Source organism: Homo sapiens, chromosome 18 (genome assembly GCF_000001405.40).
Source record: "Homo sapiens chromosome 18, GRCh38.p14 Primary Assembly".
In the NCBI taxonomy this organism is placed as follows: Eukaryota; Metazoa; Chordata; class Mammalia; order Primates; family Hominidae; genus Homo; species Homo sapiens.
This window is the reverse complement of record NC_000018.10, coordinates 21,534,344-21,550,380: the sequence shown is the minus strand read 5'-3', so window position 1 is coordinate 21,550,380 and position 16,037 is coordinate 21,534,344. Positions and strand designations below refer to the sequence as shown.

Sequence of the window (16,037 nt, the reverse complement as noted above, 5' to 3'; positions counted from 1 at the left end):
ATTCATATAGTCGTAAGGTTTAGATGTTATAGTAGAAGTTCACTTAATCAACGTAATTGGGAAAATTGGATCAGTTAACTAAATAATAACTGAATATCTAAAAAGTTGATGACTGTTGGTTATTAACTGACCCAGTTCTCCCAATTACGTTAAGTTGATGAGACTCTTCTTGTTCTCTGTTGCAGGCTTGCTTGTTCACTCATGCTTCCAGACATAATCAACATCTTAGGGTTAAAAATGGCTACTGGTCTCTGCTCACTTAGGAAGGGCTGGTTCATTTCTGAAAATCAGTTCATTTAGACATTTTGTTTCTATGCCTTTTCAGTGTCTTTAAAAACACATGGATTTTCATTTATTGGGTGTTTTCTTACTACAGTAGGTACAGTGATCTTTTGTGACCTTCTTTTTTTTTTTTTTGGAGATGGAGTCTTTGTTGCCCAGGCTGGAGTGCAGTGGCGTGATCTTGGCTCACTGCCACCTCTGTCTCCTGGGTTCAAGCAGTTCTCGTGCCTCAGCCTCCCAAGTAGCTGGGATTACAGGCATGTGCCACCACACCCAGCTAATTTTTGTATTTTTAGTAGAGACAGGGTTTCAGCACATTGGCCAGGCTGGCCTTGAACTCCTGACCTCAGGTAATCCACCCGCCTCGGCCTCCCAAAGTGCTGAGATCACAGGTGTGAGCCACTGTGCCTGGCCTTTGACCTTCTGTATCCTAATTGGGAGCAAAACTCCCAAATACATACATTGAAACCAACCGGACCAACATGGTAAAACCCCGTCTCTACTAAAAATGCAAAAATTAGCTGGGCGTGATGGTGTCTGCCTGTAATCCCAGCTACTTGGGAGACTGAGGCATGAGAATCGCTTGACCCCTGGAGGCGGAGATTGCAGGGAGCTGAGATCGTGCCACTGCATTCCAGCCTGGGCAACAGAGCGAGACTCCGTCTCCAAAAAAAAAACAAGGAAGTCTGGAGGTGTGTCATGTCAGGGTGGTTCCATCTAGCAGTTCAATAGTGTCATCATGAATGCTGGCCATTTCTCATTCAGCACTCTGCTGTCCTTAGTGTGTTGACTCTTGTGCTTCACAGTTGTAACATCATGGTCCTAAAGTAGATTTCTGTAGTCCAGATACCATATTCAGGTTCAAAGCAGGAATGTTGGGTGAGATGGATACTCAAATGGCATTTTGGGGTTTGTTTTCTTTTTAGAGACAGGGTCTCAAAAATTAGAGCAGGGTTTTATATTAAGAAACAGCCTTTACAAGCAAGTTGTATCAAATGATTCTACTTCTAGGACCCTATCTTATGGAAATGCAGTTTTTGAGATCAAAATACTGGAGCTAATGGTTAAAAGACCCAGACACATTGATACTTCAGAAAACTCTGTAGCTGTTAATAAGGAGGGAATAGATTTATATTTCTTGCCTCTTTTTTTTTTTTTTAAGAGACAGGGTCTTGCTCTATTGGCCAGGCTGAAGTGCGGTGGTGCGATGAGCTCACTGTTGCCTTGAACTCCTGGGCTCAGGGGATCCTCCTGCCTGAGTCTCCCAAGTAGCTGGGACTACAAGCATGTGTCACCATGCCCAGCTGATTATTTTACTTTTTGTAGAGATAAGATCTTGCTTTGTTGCCCAGGCTTGTCTCAAACTTCTGGGCTTAAGCAACCTGCCTGCCTTGGCCTCCCAAAGTGCTGGGATTACAGGGGTGAGCTACCATGCCTGGCCAATTTTTAAATTTAAAAATTTTTTTTGAGATGGATATTGCTATGTTGGCCTGCTGATCTTGAAACTCCAGCCTCAAGCAGCCCTCTCACCTCGGCCTCCCAAAGTGCTGGGATTACAGGCATGATCCACCACCCCCCTGGCCTTTTTATTTTTGCTTTTTTTGAGACAGGGTCTTAACTTTGTTGCCCAGGCTGGAGTGCAGTGGCGCAATCATGGCTCATTGCAGCCTCAACCTCTCAGGCTCAAGCGATCCTCTTGCCTCAGCCTGCTGAGTAGCTGAGACTACAGGCATGTGCCATCACACTCAGCTAATTTTTCTATTTTTTTTGTAGAGACAGGGTCCTACTGTGTAGCCCAGGCTGGTCTCAAACTCCTGGGCTCAAGCAATTGTCCTGCCTTGGCCTCCCAAAGTGTTGAGATTACAGGTGTGAATCACTGTACCTGGCCTTCCTATATTTTTTAGTTCATAGCATTCCCACCACCAAGAATGCCATCCCATTTTTATCTGTGCCTTTCAAGCCCAGGGAAATAACTTTTCTTTTTCTTTTTTCTTTTTGAGACGGAGTCTTGCTCTGTTGGCCTGGCTGGAGTGCAGTGGCGCCATCTCAGCTCACTGCAAGCTCCACCTCCTGGGTTCACGCCATTCTCCTGCCTCAGCCTCTTGAGTAGCTGGGACTACAGGCACTCTCCACCATGCCCGACTAATTTTTGTATTTTTAGTAGAGACAGGGTTTCACCTTGTTAGCCAGGATGGTCTCGATCTCCTGACCTCGTGATCTGCCCACCTCAGCCTCCCAAAGTGCTGGGATTACAGGTGTGAGCCACTGCGCCTGGCCGGAAATACTCTTTTCTATGAATATTTTTCTTTTATTCCTCTCTTATCCCAATAAGCATTTTCTCTATCTTCCTAAAACTATTTTAACACTTTGCTTATATTATTTTGCCTTTTCTTGTAGGTTCCTGCTTCAGTTTGATAGCTGTTTTTTTGAGAATTAAGAAATATATTAAATATACATATTGGTAGACTGATTTTGGATTCAGAAACATTGAAGTATAATAAATAAAGCTTATTTTAGAATCAAGGAAAATTTCCTTTCAAGCATATACTTTATTGCACCTTGTATTAAAGACATTTGTATACTATATGTTTCTCCTATTAGATTTATAAGATTCTTGAGGTCAGTGTGGCATAGTAGAAAAGAAAGTGAGCTTAACTATAGAGATGTGGTTTCCTAATGAGCCACTTTCTAGTTGTATGACCCTAGCAAATTAACTCTTTTTCTCTTTAGTTTTTTTTTTTTTTTCAAATCTGTAAGCAATGACAGTAATCTCTTATGTGATAATTTTTTCGTAGGCTTATTTATTTCTTAAACATTTATTAACTGTCGACCTTGTTTTTAAAAATTATTATAAAGATCTTTTATGTAAGTTCACAGATCAGTGCGAGGGACGATGGATAAACATTTAAATAGTGTGGAAAATGCTACAGTAGTATTTTAGGATATACAGGGTATTATATAGAGCATAGAGCAAGGACATATGACAAAGATTGGAAAAGTCGGGTTAGCACTTAATAAATTCAGAAAGGATAAGTAGGAGTCCCTTGAGCTCAGAAGGGTATAGAGCAAAGGCATATCAGGCCAAGAGAGCAGTATGTGAAAGGCCAGGCAAATAAAAGTATTCCATTATGACTTGTGACTGTGTTGTATTGGAAAAGCTGCAAGAGATAAGGCTGAAAGAGGTAAATGGGGGACCGGATCATGAATGACCTTGTAAGGCAGGAAGGCATTGAAGGTTTAAAAACCTAAACCAGCCAGGCACGGTGGCTCACACCTTTAATCCCAGCACTTTGGGAGGCCAGGGCGGGAGGATCACTTGAGCTCAGGAGTTTGAGACCAGCCTGGGGAACATGGCAAAACCCTGTCTCTACAAAAAATAGAAAAATCACCTGGGTGTTGGGCTGCATGCCTGTGGTCCCATCTACTCGGGAGGCTGAGTTGGGAGAGTTGCTTGAGCCTAGGAGGCTGAGGCTGCAGTGAGCCATGATTGCACCACGGCACTCCAGCCAGGGCAACAGAGTGAGACCCTGTCTCAAAACAAAAACCAAAACCTACTAAAACAATTAAAATGCTTAGTTGCTGTAATAATCGGAACTGTTATTTATTGAGTACATATTATTGTGCTAGGCCCTATGGTCAACATTTTATAGTGTTTTCTCATTTAGCTTCTCAGTCGTTTTCTGTTGTTTTTTTGTTTTTATTTGTTTTTGGTGGAGGCAGGGTTTCACCATGCTGCTCTAACAGGCTGGTCTAGAACTCCTGGGCTCAAGTGATCCTCCTTCCTCTACCTCTCAAAGTATGGATTATAGGTGTGAGCCACTGCACCAGGCCTGTTTTTGTATCTGTTTTATAGGTGAGGAAACCAAGTTTTAGAGAGGTTAAGTAATTTGCCCAAAGCAGGGCAGCTAGTGAGTAGCAGAGTTTGCATTCGAATTTTAGGTTTTTCTGATTTTTGAAATCCTCCTTACCACTATGCTATACTGCCAAGATAATGGTTTGTATACATGGTAGGTAGTCAGTACAAATTTACTGAATTGAGAGAATTTTTCCATGTGTATGTCACTTTCAAACTAGTAGTAATATCTAAGACTTTTAAACACTTTGAAGTTCAATATGGCCATATGGATTAGACACACATCTTTACCAGTATTGGGTTTTTTTTGTTTTTGAGATGGAGTTTCGCTCTTGTCACCCAGGCTGGAGTGCAGTGACATGATCTCTGCTCACTGCAGCCTCCGCCTCCTGGGTTCAGGTGATCCTCCTGCCTCAGCCCCCCCGAGTAGCTGGGATTACAGGCGTGCGCCACATGCTCAGCTAATTTTTTGTATTTTTAGTAGACATGGGGTTTCGCCATGTTGGCCAGGCTGGTCTCGAACTCCTGACCTCAGGAGATCCACCCGCCTCAGCCTCCCAAAGTGCTGGGATTACAAGTGTGAGCCACTGCGCCCGGCCTCAACTTAACTTTTTAAATTACTATTGAAATGCCTATTTTTCTAATTCCTTTAGTAAATTTTTTTTTTTTTTTTGAGACGGTGTCTTGCTCTGTTAACCGGGCTGGAGTGCAATGGTGTGATCTCGGCTCGCTGCAGCCTCTGCCTCCCAGGTTCAGGGGATTCTCCTGCCTCAGCCTCCTGAGTAGCTGGGATTACAGGTGCCCGCCACCAAGCCTGGCTAATTTTTGTATTTTTAGTAGAGACGGGGTTTGCCATGTTGGCCAGTTTGATCTCGAACTCCTGACCTCAGGCGATCTTCCCACCTTGGCCTCCCAAAGTGCTGGGATTACAGGCATGAGCCACCGCACCTGTCCAGTAATTGTTTTTAAGTAAAATTTTTACTGACTTATAACATGTAAAGAAAGTACACAGGCTAGACATGGTGTCTCACATCTGTAATCCCAATTCTTAAGGAGGCTGAGGTGGGAGGATGGCTTGAGCCCAGCACTTTGAGACCAGCCTTGGCAACATAGTGAGACCCCATCTGAACCAAAAAAAGAAAAAGAAAGTACACAGCGAGTACACAGCTTAATAATGGTGTATTTTCACAAAGTGAACACACCCATGTAAGAAGAAGCAACATTACTGGCACCTCCAAAACTCCTTTGTGATCCTATTACAGTCACTGCTTTATCACACTTCAGGTCTAGCTGCTCCTGTTACAGTCACTACTTTACTGCACTTCGGGTCTGGCTGCAACGCTGACTAGATTAGTTTTGCATTTATTTTTTACTTCTAAATACTTGAACAAACCTTGGGCCATTGGTACAGTTTTGACAATAGGCAATTTGAATTTTCCAAAACAAGTTTAATACAGCACACACACACAGAGTAATGAACCCCTTTGTACTGATCACCTACCTTCAACAATTCATGGATAATCATCTAACTTTCCCAATTATTTTGAAGTAAACTTAGGCATCATGTTATTACTTTAGTAGATATTTCTAAGTATGTACTTCTTTTTTTTTTTTTTGAGATGGAGTTTCACTCTTGTTGCCCAAGCTGCAGTGCAATGGCATGATCTTGGCTCACTGCAACCTCCACCTCCTGGGTTCAAGTGATTCTCCTGCCTCAGCCTCCCAAGTAGCTGGGATTACAGGTGCATGCCACCACGCTTGTCTAGTTTTTGTTTTTTTTTTGTTTTTTTTTTGTATTTTTAGTAGAAACGAGGTTTCACCAGGTTAGCCAGGCTGGTCTCGAACTTCTGACCTCAGGTAATCCGCCTGCCTTGGCCCCCAAAAGTGCTGGGATTACAGGTGTGAGCCACCATGCCCCACCTCTAAATATGTATTGCTTAAAGATGAAGATTACTCCTTTTTTGTTTGTTTTGAGTTGGAGTCTCGCTCTGTCGCCCAGGCTGGAGTGCAGTGGCGCGATCTCGGCTCACTGCAACCTCTGTCCCCTGGGTTCAAGCAATTCTCCTGCCTCAGCCTCCCAAGTAGCTGGGACTACAGGCGTGCACCACCACACCCAGCTAATTTTTTTGTATTTTTAGTAGAGACAGGGTTTCACCGTGTTAGCCAGGATGGTCTCGATCTCCTGACCTTGTGATCCGCCTTCCTCAGCCTCTCAAAGTGCTGGGATTGCAGGTGTGAGCCACTGCGCTTGGCCAAAGATTATTCCTTTTTTAAACATAAAAGTACCTTAAAGAATATAACTACACCTTCAATAAATGAATTAATTGTTGAAATCAAGTTTTCTATCAGAGTTCAAAGCTTCCCAAATAGCTCATGATTTCCTATGTTGCTTATTTGTTTGAATTAGGGTTTATATATTACATTGGTTGTTATGTCCCTTTAGTATCTTTTAATCCCAAAGTTCTCCCTGGTTCTGTTTTTTTCCCTTGTAATATTTGTTTATTTTTTGAAAAGCTGGTTGTTGGTTTTATTTCTTCAAATATTCCTTCAAATGTATATTCTCATTCAACCTTTTCATGAAATTGTGATTAATGTGAACTTTTAAAGTCGGGGTATTATTTATACAATTAAATCTACACATCTTAAGTGTTTGGTTTGAATTTTGATCATTGTATATACTCAGTGTATTTACCACTCAGTGTATTTTGTTTCCAATTGTAATCCTTTTTTTGATGGAAAAAGGAGAAATCCATTCTTTAGACTGTACAGTTTAGAGTAACTCCAATAGCAAGGAGAAAAGAGTAATAATTTCTTAATCCCAACACTTTGGAAGGCCAAGGCTGGCGGATCACCTGAGGTCGGGAGTTCGAAACCAGCCTGACCAACATGGAGAAACCCTGTTTCTACTAAAAATACAAAAAAAATCAGCTCGGCGTGGTGGCACATGCCTGTGATCCCAACTACTCGGGAGGCTGAGGCAGGAGAATTGCTTGAACCCGGGAGGCGGAGGTTGCAGTGAGCCGAGATTGCGCCATTGCACTCCAGCCTGGGCAACAAGATTGAAACTGTCTCAAAAAAAAAAATAAATAAAATAATAATAATTTCTTGCTGTTAGAAATACAAATTAGGAATATAAAGTTTTCTGCTTTTCATGAAGCAGAAATGGATGAAGTAAGAAAAAATGGGTTTTGGAAAATACTACTTGTTAGCAGAGGGTTATGTGTAACATACTAGTCCTGAAATATGTTGGAGCTAAAGGTCAGAAGTGTAAGTGCACTGCATTGGAATTTATTTCTTTGCAAAAACGTTGTGGCTATTTGATTATTCTTCTAAATTGCATGCACTCTTTCCTGAACCCTGCTTCTCCTCTGCCTTAATTTTAAGCATTGGATGGACTTTATCGCCTCTAAGTTTCTCTGAAGTAAGGAGGGTCATGTGGTTATTGTGACTAGCAGTTAACTGTAGTTGAGGCATAGATATGTCTTGAGTATGTTATTTGAACAAATATTAGCTAACTTGTTTCTTTCATCTTTTATTTGCCTATGATTTGAATTTATTGCTGTATTTACCCTTGGGAACATTTATTGATTGACTGTTTTGTTAGATTAGTGCATTGATCTTAGTTTGATACTAGTAAGAAGGGAGAATGGAAGTTGCTAAGAGTTACTTAGTGGCTACTCTTTGAGCAGTCATCTTAAATACAGCACCCTCGTACCTACCCAAGTGATGGAGGTGATGATAGCCATTTTTTAGAATGCTAAGATCAGGAAACAGAATCAGAGTTCCAGTGATTTGCCTAAGGCCATGCATCTAGTAACTACCAAGAACAAGGATCTAAACCCTGAACTTTTACTCTAGAGTTACTTAAAAGTTTTCACTGAAATATGCTTTCTTAGCTTGGCATGGTGGTGCACGCCTGTAGTCCCAGCTACTTGGGAGGCTGAAGCAAGAGGATTGCTTGAGCCCCAGGAGTTTGAAGCTGCTGTGAGCTGTGATCTTGCCACTGCACTCCAGCCTGGGTGACAGAGTGAGACTCTGTCTCAAATAAGTAAATTACATTAATAAATAAAACTTGCTGTTTTCATGAACATTAGAAATCTAAGCAATACTAAGTATCCTTTTGCAGCCTTTGCTTCTTAAAGGGCTTTTATTTAGTACATGAAAAAAAGGTACTATTTAAAACATAAAATTATATCAAATGGAATTGTGATAAAAATTTCGGCATGAACATACAAGTCTGAAGTTGTTTCAAGAGAAAGTTTTGCACTCAAAAATTAGTAAAGCAAAATAATTTGTCTAATGTCTATAATGCAATATAATGACATGAAACCAGTATTACTGTTTTCAAAGGCATTTAATAGGAAAATAGTTTATGGAACTGTCTTTAGATGATTCAGTTCAGGAAGAATGGTTTTCTTATAACTTGAGGTTACTTACATTTTTAGGTCTTTTCGATGTTTTAAAGTGAAAATCTCTTTTCATTTTATTAAAAATAGGTTCATAAATTTAAAAGCTTTTTCATAAAGTAACATTAGTAATAGAAATTTGTTTTTAAAGAGGTGATGTCTTGTAAATCTTCTAAAAATTGTTTACCTATATTCAGATCTCTATATGATTCAGATTTACTTTCTTTCTTTTTTTTTTTTTTTTTTTGGGACAGTGTCTCGCTCTGTCACCCAGGCTGGAGTGCAATGGCGCGAACTCAGCTCACTGCAACCTCCACCTCCCGAGTTCAAGCAATTCTCCTGCCTCAGCCTCCTGAGTAGCCAGAACTACAGGCGCGTGCCACCACACCCGCCTAAAAATACAATAATTTTTTGTATTTTAGTAGATTCGGGGTTTCCAGGATGGTCTCAATCTCCTGACCTTGTGATCTGCCCTCCTCCCAAAGTGCTGGGATTACAGGCGTGAGCCACTGCACCCGGCCTTAAGTTTCTTTTTTAAAACCTTATTTACGTTGAAGAACTACAGATTTAGTTTCTTAGATGAAAAAAGGACTTCTGTGGCTATTGTTTCTGCTCCTTTCTTTTCAAATCTTGAGAACATTTTACCAATCATAATTTTAATCATCTGAATTTTAACTTGGGTACTCTATTATGTAAACAAATTTTGGATTTTAAATATTTTAATTTAAATTGTTACATATACCAAGCTTATTACCTAGAATTTTTGTTCCCAACTATGATCTTTCTACCTTCCCCCTCCAAAAAATTCCTGATGGTTTAAGAAAACGAATCTGCTTTCACACTTGCCATAGTATATTTTTAAAGAAATCTAGTTGCCATTTTCTTGGTTTCATTGAGCTTTTTGTGTTCTTAGAAGAAACATCAGAAAAAATATGGTGGTTTTCTCTACTAGAAGTATAAATGGCTTCTGGAAAGGCCTTTTTATGTAAAGTTGGTTGGGTTAAGACAACTGGAACAACTAGTTAAGCTCATTCCTTCTGTACTTATTTTGAACTTCAAAGCTCCTAGTTTTAACCTCTGGTTCAGTCCCATCTTACTAGATTTAAGTGGCTTTTGTTTTGTTTTGTTTTTTTATGCAGGTTCTGCTCATTAATCACCACGAGTGTGGATCTGAAGAAGAGTTTATTACCTCTCTTTTTTTGAGTATGTTTAACTTCAGATACACACAACGTAGCTTCTCCTTCCCTATTAGATTCTTAGAAGGTAGTTATATTTTTTATAGTCTCCTTCTTGTGGCTTTGGTAGTTGTGATCAATAAGCATAAGACTATTCCTTTCATACTGGGCTACTGCATGCAAATCAGTTCATTTAAAACCTCCTGGAGGTCTTTGGCATGCCAGACATAAAACTTGGAGTGTTTGTTTGTGGAGGTAACCATGTTCCAATGAAATATAAGAGTTTAATTCTTTTATCAAGAATCTGGGAGAGTTATAGTTTCTGGGAATTACTGACTTTAAGGGGCTTGCTTTTGGTGTGTGGCTTTCAAAATTAATTTAAAACGGGAAATGATAAATTAGAAATACTCTTGTGGTATTAGATATATCTCTGAATGAGTAGTAGAGAGAAATTAGCTTGCCTTGTACCTATTGTATGCTTAACAAAATAGCCGATTTATCATGCTTTATTAAGCATTAATGAGCATATATTTTTCATGTTTGCAATTTTTAGACAAATTGATGTACTTTTTATCTTGTACGTGGATATAATGAATAGAATATACATAAAATTCATACTTTACATATGTGTGTATATATATATATATATATCTAGGGCTGGAAGAAAGAAAGAATTCTGGCTGAATACCCTGATGGCAGGATAATAATGGTTCTTCCTGAAGACCCAAAGTATGCCCTGAAAAAGGTAAATTTCCAGTGAAACTTCATGTAGAGTGGATAATATCATTTTGCAGTTAATTTTTTTTTTTTTTACCCTGAGACAGGGTCTTGCTCTGTCGCTCAGGCTGGAGTGCAGTGGCACGATCTCGGCTCACTGCAACCTCTGTCTCCCGGGTTCAAGGGATTCTCCTGCCTCCACCTCCCGAGTAGGTGGGACTACAGATGTGTGCCACCACACCTGGCTAACTTGTATTTTTAGTAGAGACAGGGTTTCACCATATTGGCCAGGCTGGCCTCGAACTCCTGACCTCATGATCTGCCTGTCTTGGCCTCCCAGAGTGCTGGGATTACAGGCTTGAACCACTGCGCCTGGCCCATTTCGCAGTTAATTTTAAGAGGATAACAGATTGCTGGCATAGTATATTGAAACACCTATTCTGAAAACAAGAAATAAGCGTTTAAAGGGTATAACCCAATTCAAAAATTATGTTAAACTTTGTAGTGTGTCCAGTATATGAATTCTAAATGAACTGAGTACTGTCCAGTATTATTACTAAATTGTCCTGTATTAGTAGTAGTTAATAATTTGAGTGCCAAAGTAGATATGCTTATCTTCTGTTAAGTGAATAATGCCAACTAAAAGATTTCACGATCAGAAATAAAAGCTGAATTATAATAATTTGGATAATTAATAAAATGTAAAGTTTCATTCTAAGGGAAAATTTCTAAATAAAAGCTTATTGCAGAAGGGGATTGCTAAGTAGGTCATAGTAAACCTGAAATTAAACATGACTTAATCTTATAATATTTTTAAGATATAAGGATATATTCCAGTTTATAAATATAATGCGGAAACATAAAAGTTTATTTTATCTAGTGTGAGGCAGGTGTTAGTCTAACTTAGAGTTCCATACTTCAAGTGTTCAGAGAGTTTATTGTGTTGAGAAGTGAACCAGATAATGAATCCTGGAACCATTTTATTATATAGGTTATTTTAAAAATCAGGAACCAAAAGGTAAACTTATTTTTAAATAAGTTTAATATGTTCATTACACTTTCAAATAATATACTCAGTATGTTTTTCTTCAACCTCTGGATGCTTTTTCAGAAGAAATACCTCATAATGTTAGCAATGGGTTCAGTTAAGTTTATCTGAAACACTTTAGTAATTATACTAGAGTGTGTCCCAAATGTCTGGAAACAGGAGGAAAACAGTTTATTATACTTTTTTTTAGGTTAACAATTGGACTTCTTTAAACTTAAGAATACTTCACCTGAAAAGTTGGTTGAAGGAAAATACTTTGCGCCTGTTATTTGAAAGTTTAGCTAATAATCTATTTAAAATATGTAAGTTTATTTTCTGATTCTTAACTTTAGATACTCTGTTTATCCGAATGGACAATCTTAGATACCCAAATAAGCTTTCATATTACTGCTGCCTAACAGAATAGACAACAGTATTTACAGTGACATGTAAACATGCCCAACCTGTCTTGTATTTGAAACATTGATTCTTGCACAATAGTAAATTCTTGTTGAATTAATGTTGGATCAGTGATTAACCACAGCTGACCCACGAACAGTGTAGTAGTTATGGGTGCTGGCTTCTCATGCAGCCAAAAATCCAATTATAACTTTTTTTTTTTTTTTTTTTTTTAAGAGACAGGGTCTCACCGTGTTGCCCAGGCTTGTCTTGAACTCCTGGTCTCAAGGGATCCTCCTGCCTCAGCCTCCAAAAGTGCTGGGATTATAGGCGTGAGCCACCCTGCCCAGCCCAAGTACAACTTTTGATTCCCCCAAAACTTAACTGCTAATAGCCTACTGTTGACTGGTAACCTTATTGATAACATAAATAATTGATTAATCCCATACTTAAACTAGTATCTACATATATTCTATGCATTCATGACATACCTAACCTTTTCTTGATTTTTTTTTTTTTATGTTTCTAGGCTACATGGTTCATCTGCTAGTTTTTTCATATTGTCACAATTCCCAAAAAAATTTTCCAATATGTTTATTGAAAAAAGCCCTACATATAAGTGGACCCACACAGTTCAAACTTTTGTTGTTCGAGGGTCAACTGAAATGAAAATTAAATTAATGAATTTTTGGAATTCCAGCTATTCACATTTGGAAATGCACATGGGAACTTTTGCTACACTACCATATATGGCAACCAGACTTTTCTTAGAAGGAACCCTCAGTAGATGCTAATTTCCTCATTTTAGTTTATCGGAACAAAATCTTAGTAACCCATAATAGGTTAAAAATTAAAATCTAGGGAATTGTGAATCACTTGTCTTTAGGAATTAGGAGTTGTAGGATGCTGTGTCAGGATTAGGAGGACTTAATAACATAAATGAGTGTTATTGGACTCTATTTTTAGTTTTTTGTTTTGTTTTGTTTTTTAAGAGAATTCCACTCTGTCACCCAGGCTGGAGTGCAGTGGTGTGATCATAGCTCACTGTAACCTCAAACTCCTGAGCCCAAGTGACCCTCCTGCCCCAGTCTCCTGAGTAGCTGGGACTACTGGCAAGTGCCACCACATCTGGCTAATAAAACAATTTTGTAAAGATGGGTTCTGCTGTGTTGCCCAGGCTGGCCTTGAACTCCTCTAGCCTCAGCCTCCCAAAGTGCTGGGATTATAGGCATCAGCCACTGCTCTCTGGCTTTTGTTGGCAGTATCTTTTAACTGGGGAAGGAACTAATGGTTGAGTACCTACAGAGGTCTTAATTTTGGTTGCCTGCAAACAGTTTGAGCTTACCATGTTTGACTTTGGTCAGTTAGGAGCTAAACTGCAAGAAGCATGGTTTGATGCCATAGTAACATTTTGGGTTCACATGTGACTCTGCTGCTTGATTTTCTAGATGTCTAATATCTGACATGGGAAAGTTCTTTAACTTTTGAGTATTATTTCTTCCATATGTAAAGTGAAGAACCATAAACCTCCAAGAAATGTGGGATTTAAGTGAAATATTTGTAAAGTGCTTTGAATAATGTCTGGCCTATAAGTGGTTGATAGGAAGTAAACATGAGTTCCTTTTCTCTATACTCACTTTTGTTTTACCGATGAGAGTACTAATTAAGGGTTGGGAAGAAGAGTGGCTTGCCTGGCTAAGATTGCAGTGAAGTTCTCTTCAATTCACAGATTAGATGCTTCTAATAGGAAGTCTTAATGTTCCTAATAATCTATTGTAGGAGCTCTCACCCCATCCCTCTTGTTCTCTAGACTGTTGGGTTTGGCATCCCCCTCCAGTTCTTCCTTCATTTTGCAAAGTGTTCCAAAGGGGTTAAAAAACAGTTATTGATCAGTACAGTCATTCAAAAGAACTTTTTTTTTTTTTTTTTTTGAGATGGAGTCTCACTCTGTCACCCAGGCTGGAGTGCAACGGCGCAATCTCGGCTCACTGCAACCTCCACCTTCCAGGTTCAAGGGATTCTCCTGTCTCAGCCTCCAGAGTAGCTGGGATTACAGGCGCACACTGCGGCACCTGGCTAATTTTTTAATATTTTAGTAGAGACAGGGTTTCACCATGTTGCCCAGGCTGGTCGTGAACTCCTGAGCTCAGGCAATCCACCCGCCTTGGCCTCCTAAAGTGGTAGGATTACAGGTGTGAACCACCACACCCAGCCCAAAAGAACTCTTTAGAGGATGCCCTGCTTGGAATAAAGTTGATCTACTGAACTGAAATAGTGTGTTTTTACATGTATATAATATTTTCATTTAAAAATAATTACTGTTCTTTATTTGGCAGGTTGACGAGATTAGAGAGATGGTTGACAATGATTTAGGTTTTCAACAGGCTCCACTAATGTGCTATTCCAGAACTAAAACACTTCTCTTCATTTCCAATGACAAAAAAGTAGTTGGCTGCCTAATTGCGGAACATATCCAATGGGTAAGTGATAAAAGAGTGTTCTTAAGTAATTTGGTGTTTAATGAGTTTACAACGTAATCCCAAATAACATAAATCCTGATAAATTTGTCTCCATTTCATGTAAAGATCAGTTTTAATGCAAGAATTCCCATGTGTGAGTCTTCACCATAGTGGAATAATGGTTATGCATGGGAATTAGTTTCTCAAGTCAGTAAGATAAAAATTCTGTAGAATCAGAATACCATCAGGCTGGGCACACTGGCTCACGCCTATAATCCCAGCACTTTGGGAGGCCAAGGTGGGTGGATCATGAAGTCAGGAGTTTGAGACCAGCCTTGCCAACATTGTGAAAACCTGTTCTCTACTGAAAATACAAAAATTAGCTGAGTGTGGTGGCTCACGCCTGTAATCCCAGCACTTTGGGAGGCCGAAGTGGGAGGATCACAAGGTCAGGAGTTCGAGACCATCCTGGCTAATACGGTGAAACCCTTTCTCTACTGAAAATACAAAAAATGAGCCTGGCATGGTGGCACGTGCCTGTAGTCCCAGCTATTGGGGAGGCTGAGGCAAGAGAATCGCTTGAACCCGGGAGGCAGAGGTTGCAGTGAGCCAAGATTGCGCCACTGCACTCCAGCCTGGGCGACACAAGACTCGGTCTCAAAAAAAAAAAGAAAAAAAAAAATAGCCAGGCGCGGTGGTGTGCACCTGTAATCCCAGCTACTCAGGAGGCTAAGGCAGGAGAATCGCTTGAACCCAGGAGGCAGAGGTTGTAGTGAGCCAAGGTCACGCCATTGCACTCCAGCCTGGGTGACAGAGTGAGACTCCGTCTCAAAAAAAAAAAAAAATCAGAATACTATCAAAGTTTATTTTGGAAGTTTCCATGTTGGATACCAATGTAATGTCTTTCTCAATTAGTCCCTCTAGCACTGGAGTAAGTCAAGGCTAGGCGAACTAGAGTGGGCAAAATCCAGCTTGTTTTTGTAAATAAAATTTTATTGTCGCCCACCAACACCCATTTGGCTTACATATTTATGGCTACTTTTGTACTACAAAGGCAGAGTTGAATAGTTGCAACAGAGACCAGGTGGACTGCAGTGCCTAAAATATTTGCTATCTGTACCTTTATAAAAGGCCCACACCACCAGGCATAGTGGCTCAGACCTGTAATCCCAGCAATTTGAGAGGCTGAGGCGGGCAGATCAGAAGGTCAGGAGTTTGAGACCAGCCTGGCCAACATGGTGAAACCGTGGTCTCTACTAAAAATACAAAAATTAGCCAGATGTGGTGTGTGCCTGTAATCCCAGTTACTCGTGAGGCTGAGGCAGGAGAATTGCTTGAACCTGGGAGGCAGAGGTTGCAGTGAGCTAATATCATGCCACTGAACCCAGCCTGGACAACAGAGCAAGACTCCATCTCAAAAAAAAAAAAAAGGCCCACACCTGGAATAGATCACCACTTCCTTTGTTGAACTCTGAATGAGTAGTTATCTTGTGTTTAGGAGCCAACTTGTACAAAAAACAAACAATGGAATCATGTATGTTTACATTATGAGTGTTACTAGAAACTGCCGAGACCATTCTAAGAGAACAGAAGCTTCTGGACTCCCTAATAATGCTCACTTTGAGGCAGACCTGAATTCTATCTTTTTCCAGCTAAGTGCTTGCTCATGAACTCAGTGTACATTGTGTGTGACTACTGTTCAGATGGTGTCTTTTAGCA

At 39.9% G+C, this 16,037-nt stretch overlaps 1 protein-coding gene across 5 annotated transcripts in view; it reads left to right on the top strand.

Annotated features, from left to right (window-relative positions):
• ESCO1 (establishment of sister chromatid cohesion N-acetyltransferase 1) overlaps positions 1 to 16,037 on the top strand; it is a 71,421-nt gene that overhangs the window by 50,324 nt on the left and 5,060 nt on the right. For 2 of the 5 annotated variants that reach the window (NM_052911.3, XM_011525798.2), the window contains exons 9-10: positions 10,372 to 10,461; positions 14,196 to 14,339. In NM_052911.3, the coding sequence (NP_443143.2) occupies positions 10,372 to 10,461; positions 14,196 to 14,339 (234 nt within the window). Of the gene's footprint in view, positions 1 to 9,680; positions 9,805 to 10,371; positions 10,462 to 14,195; positions 14,340 to 16,037 lie in introns of those variants that run through there. The other 3 variants (XM_011525799.4, XM_047437285.1, XM_047437286.1) reach the window with 2 other exon arrangements.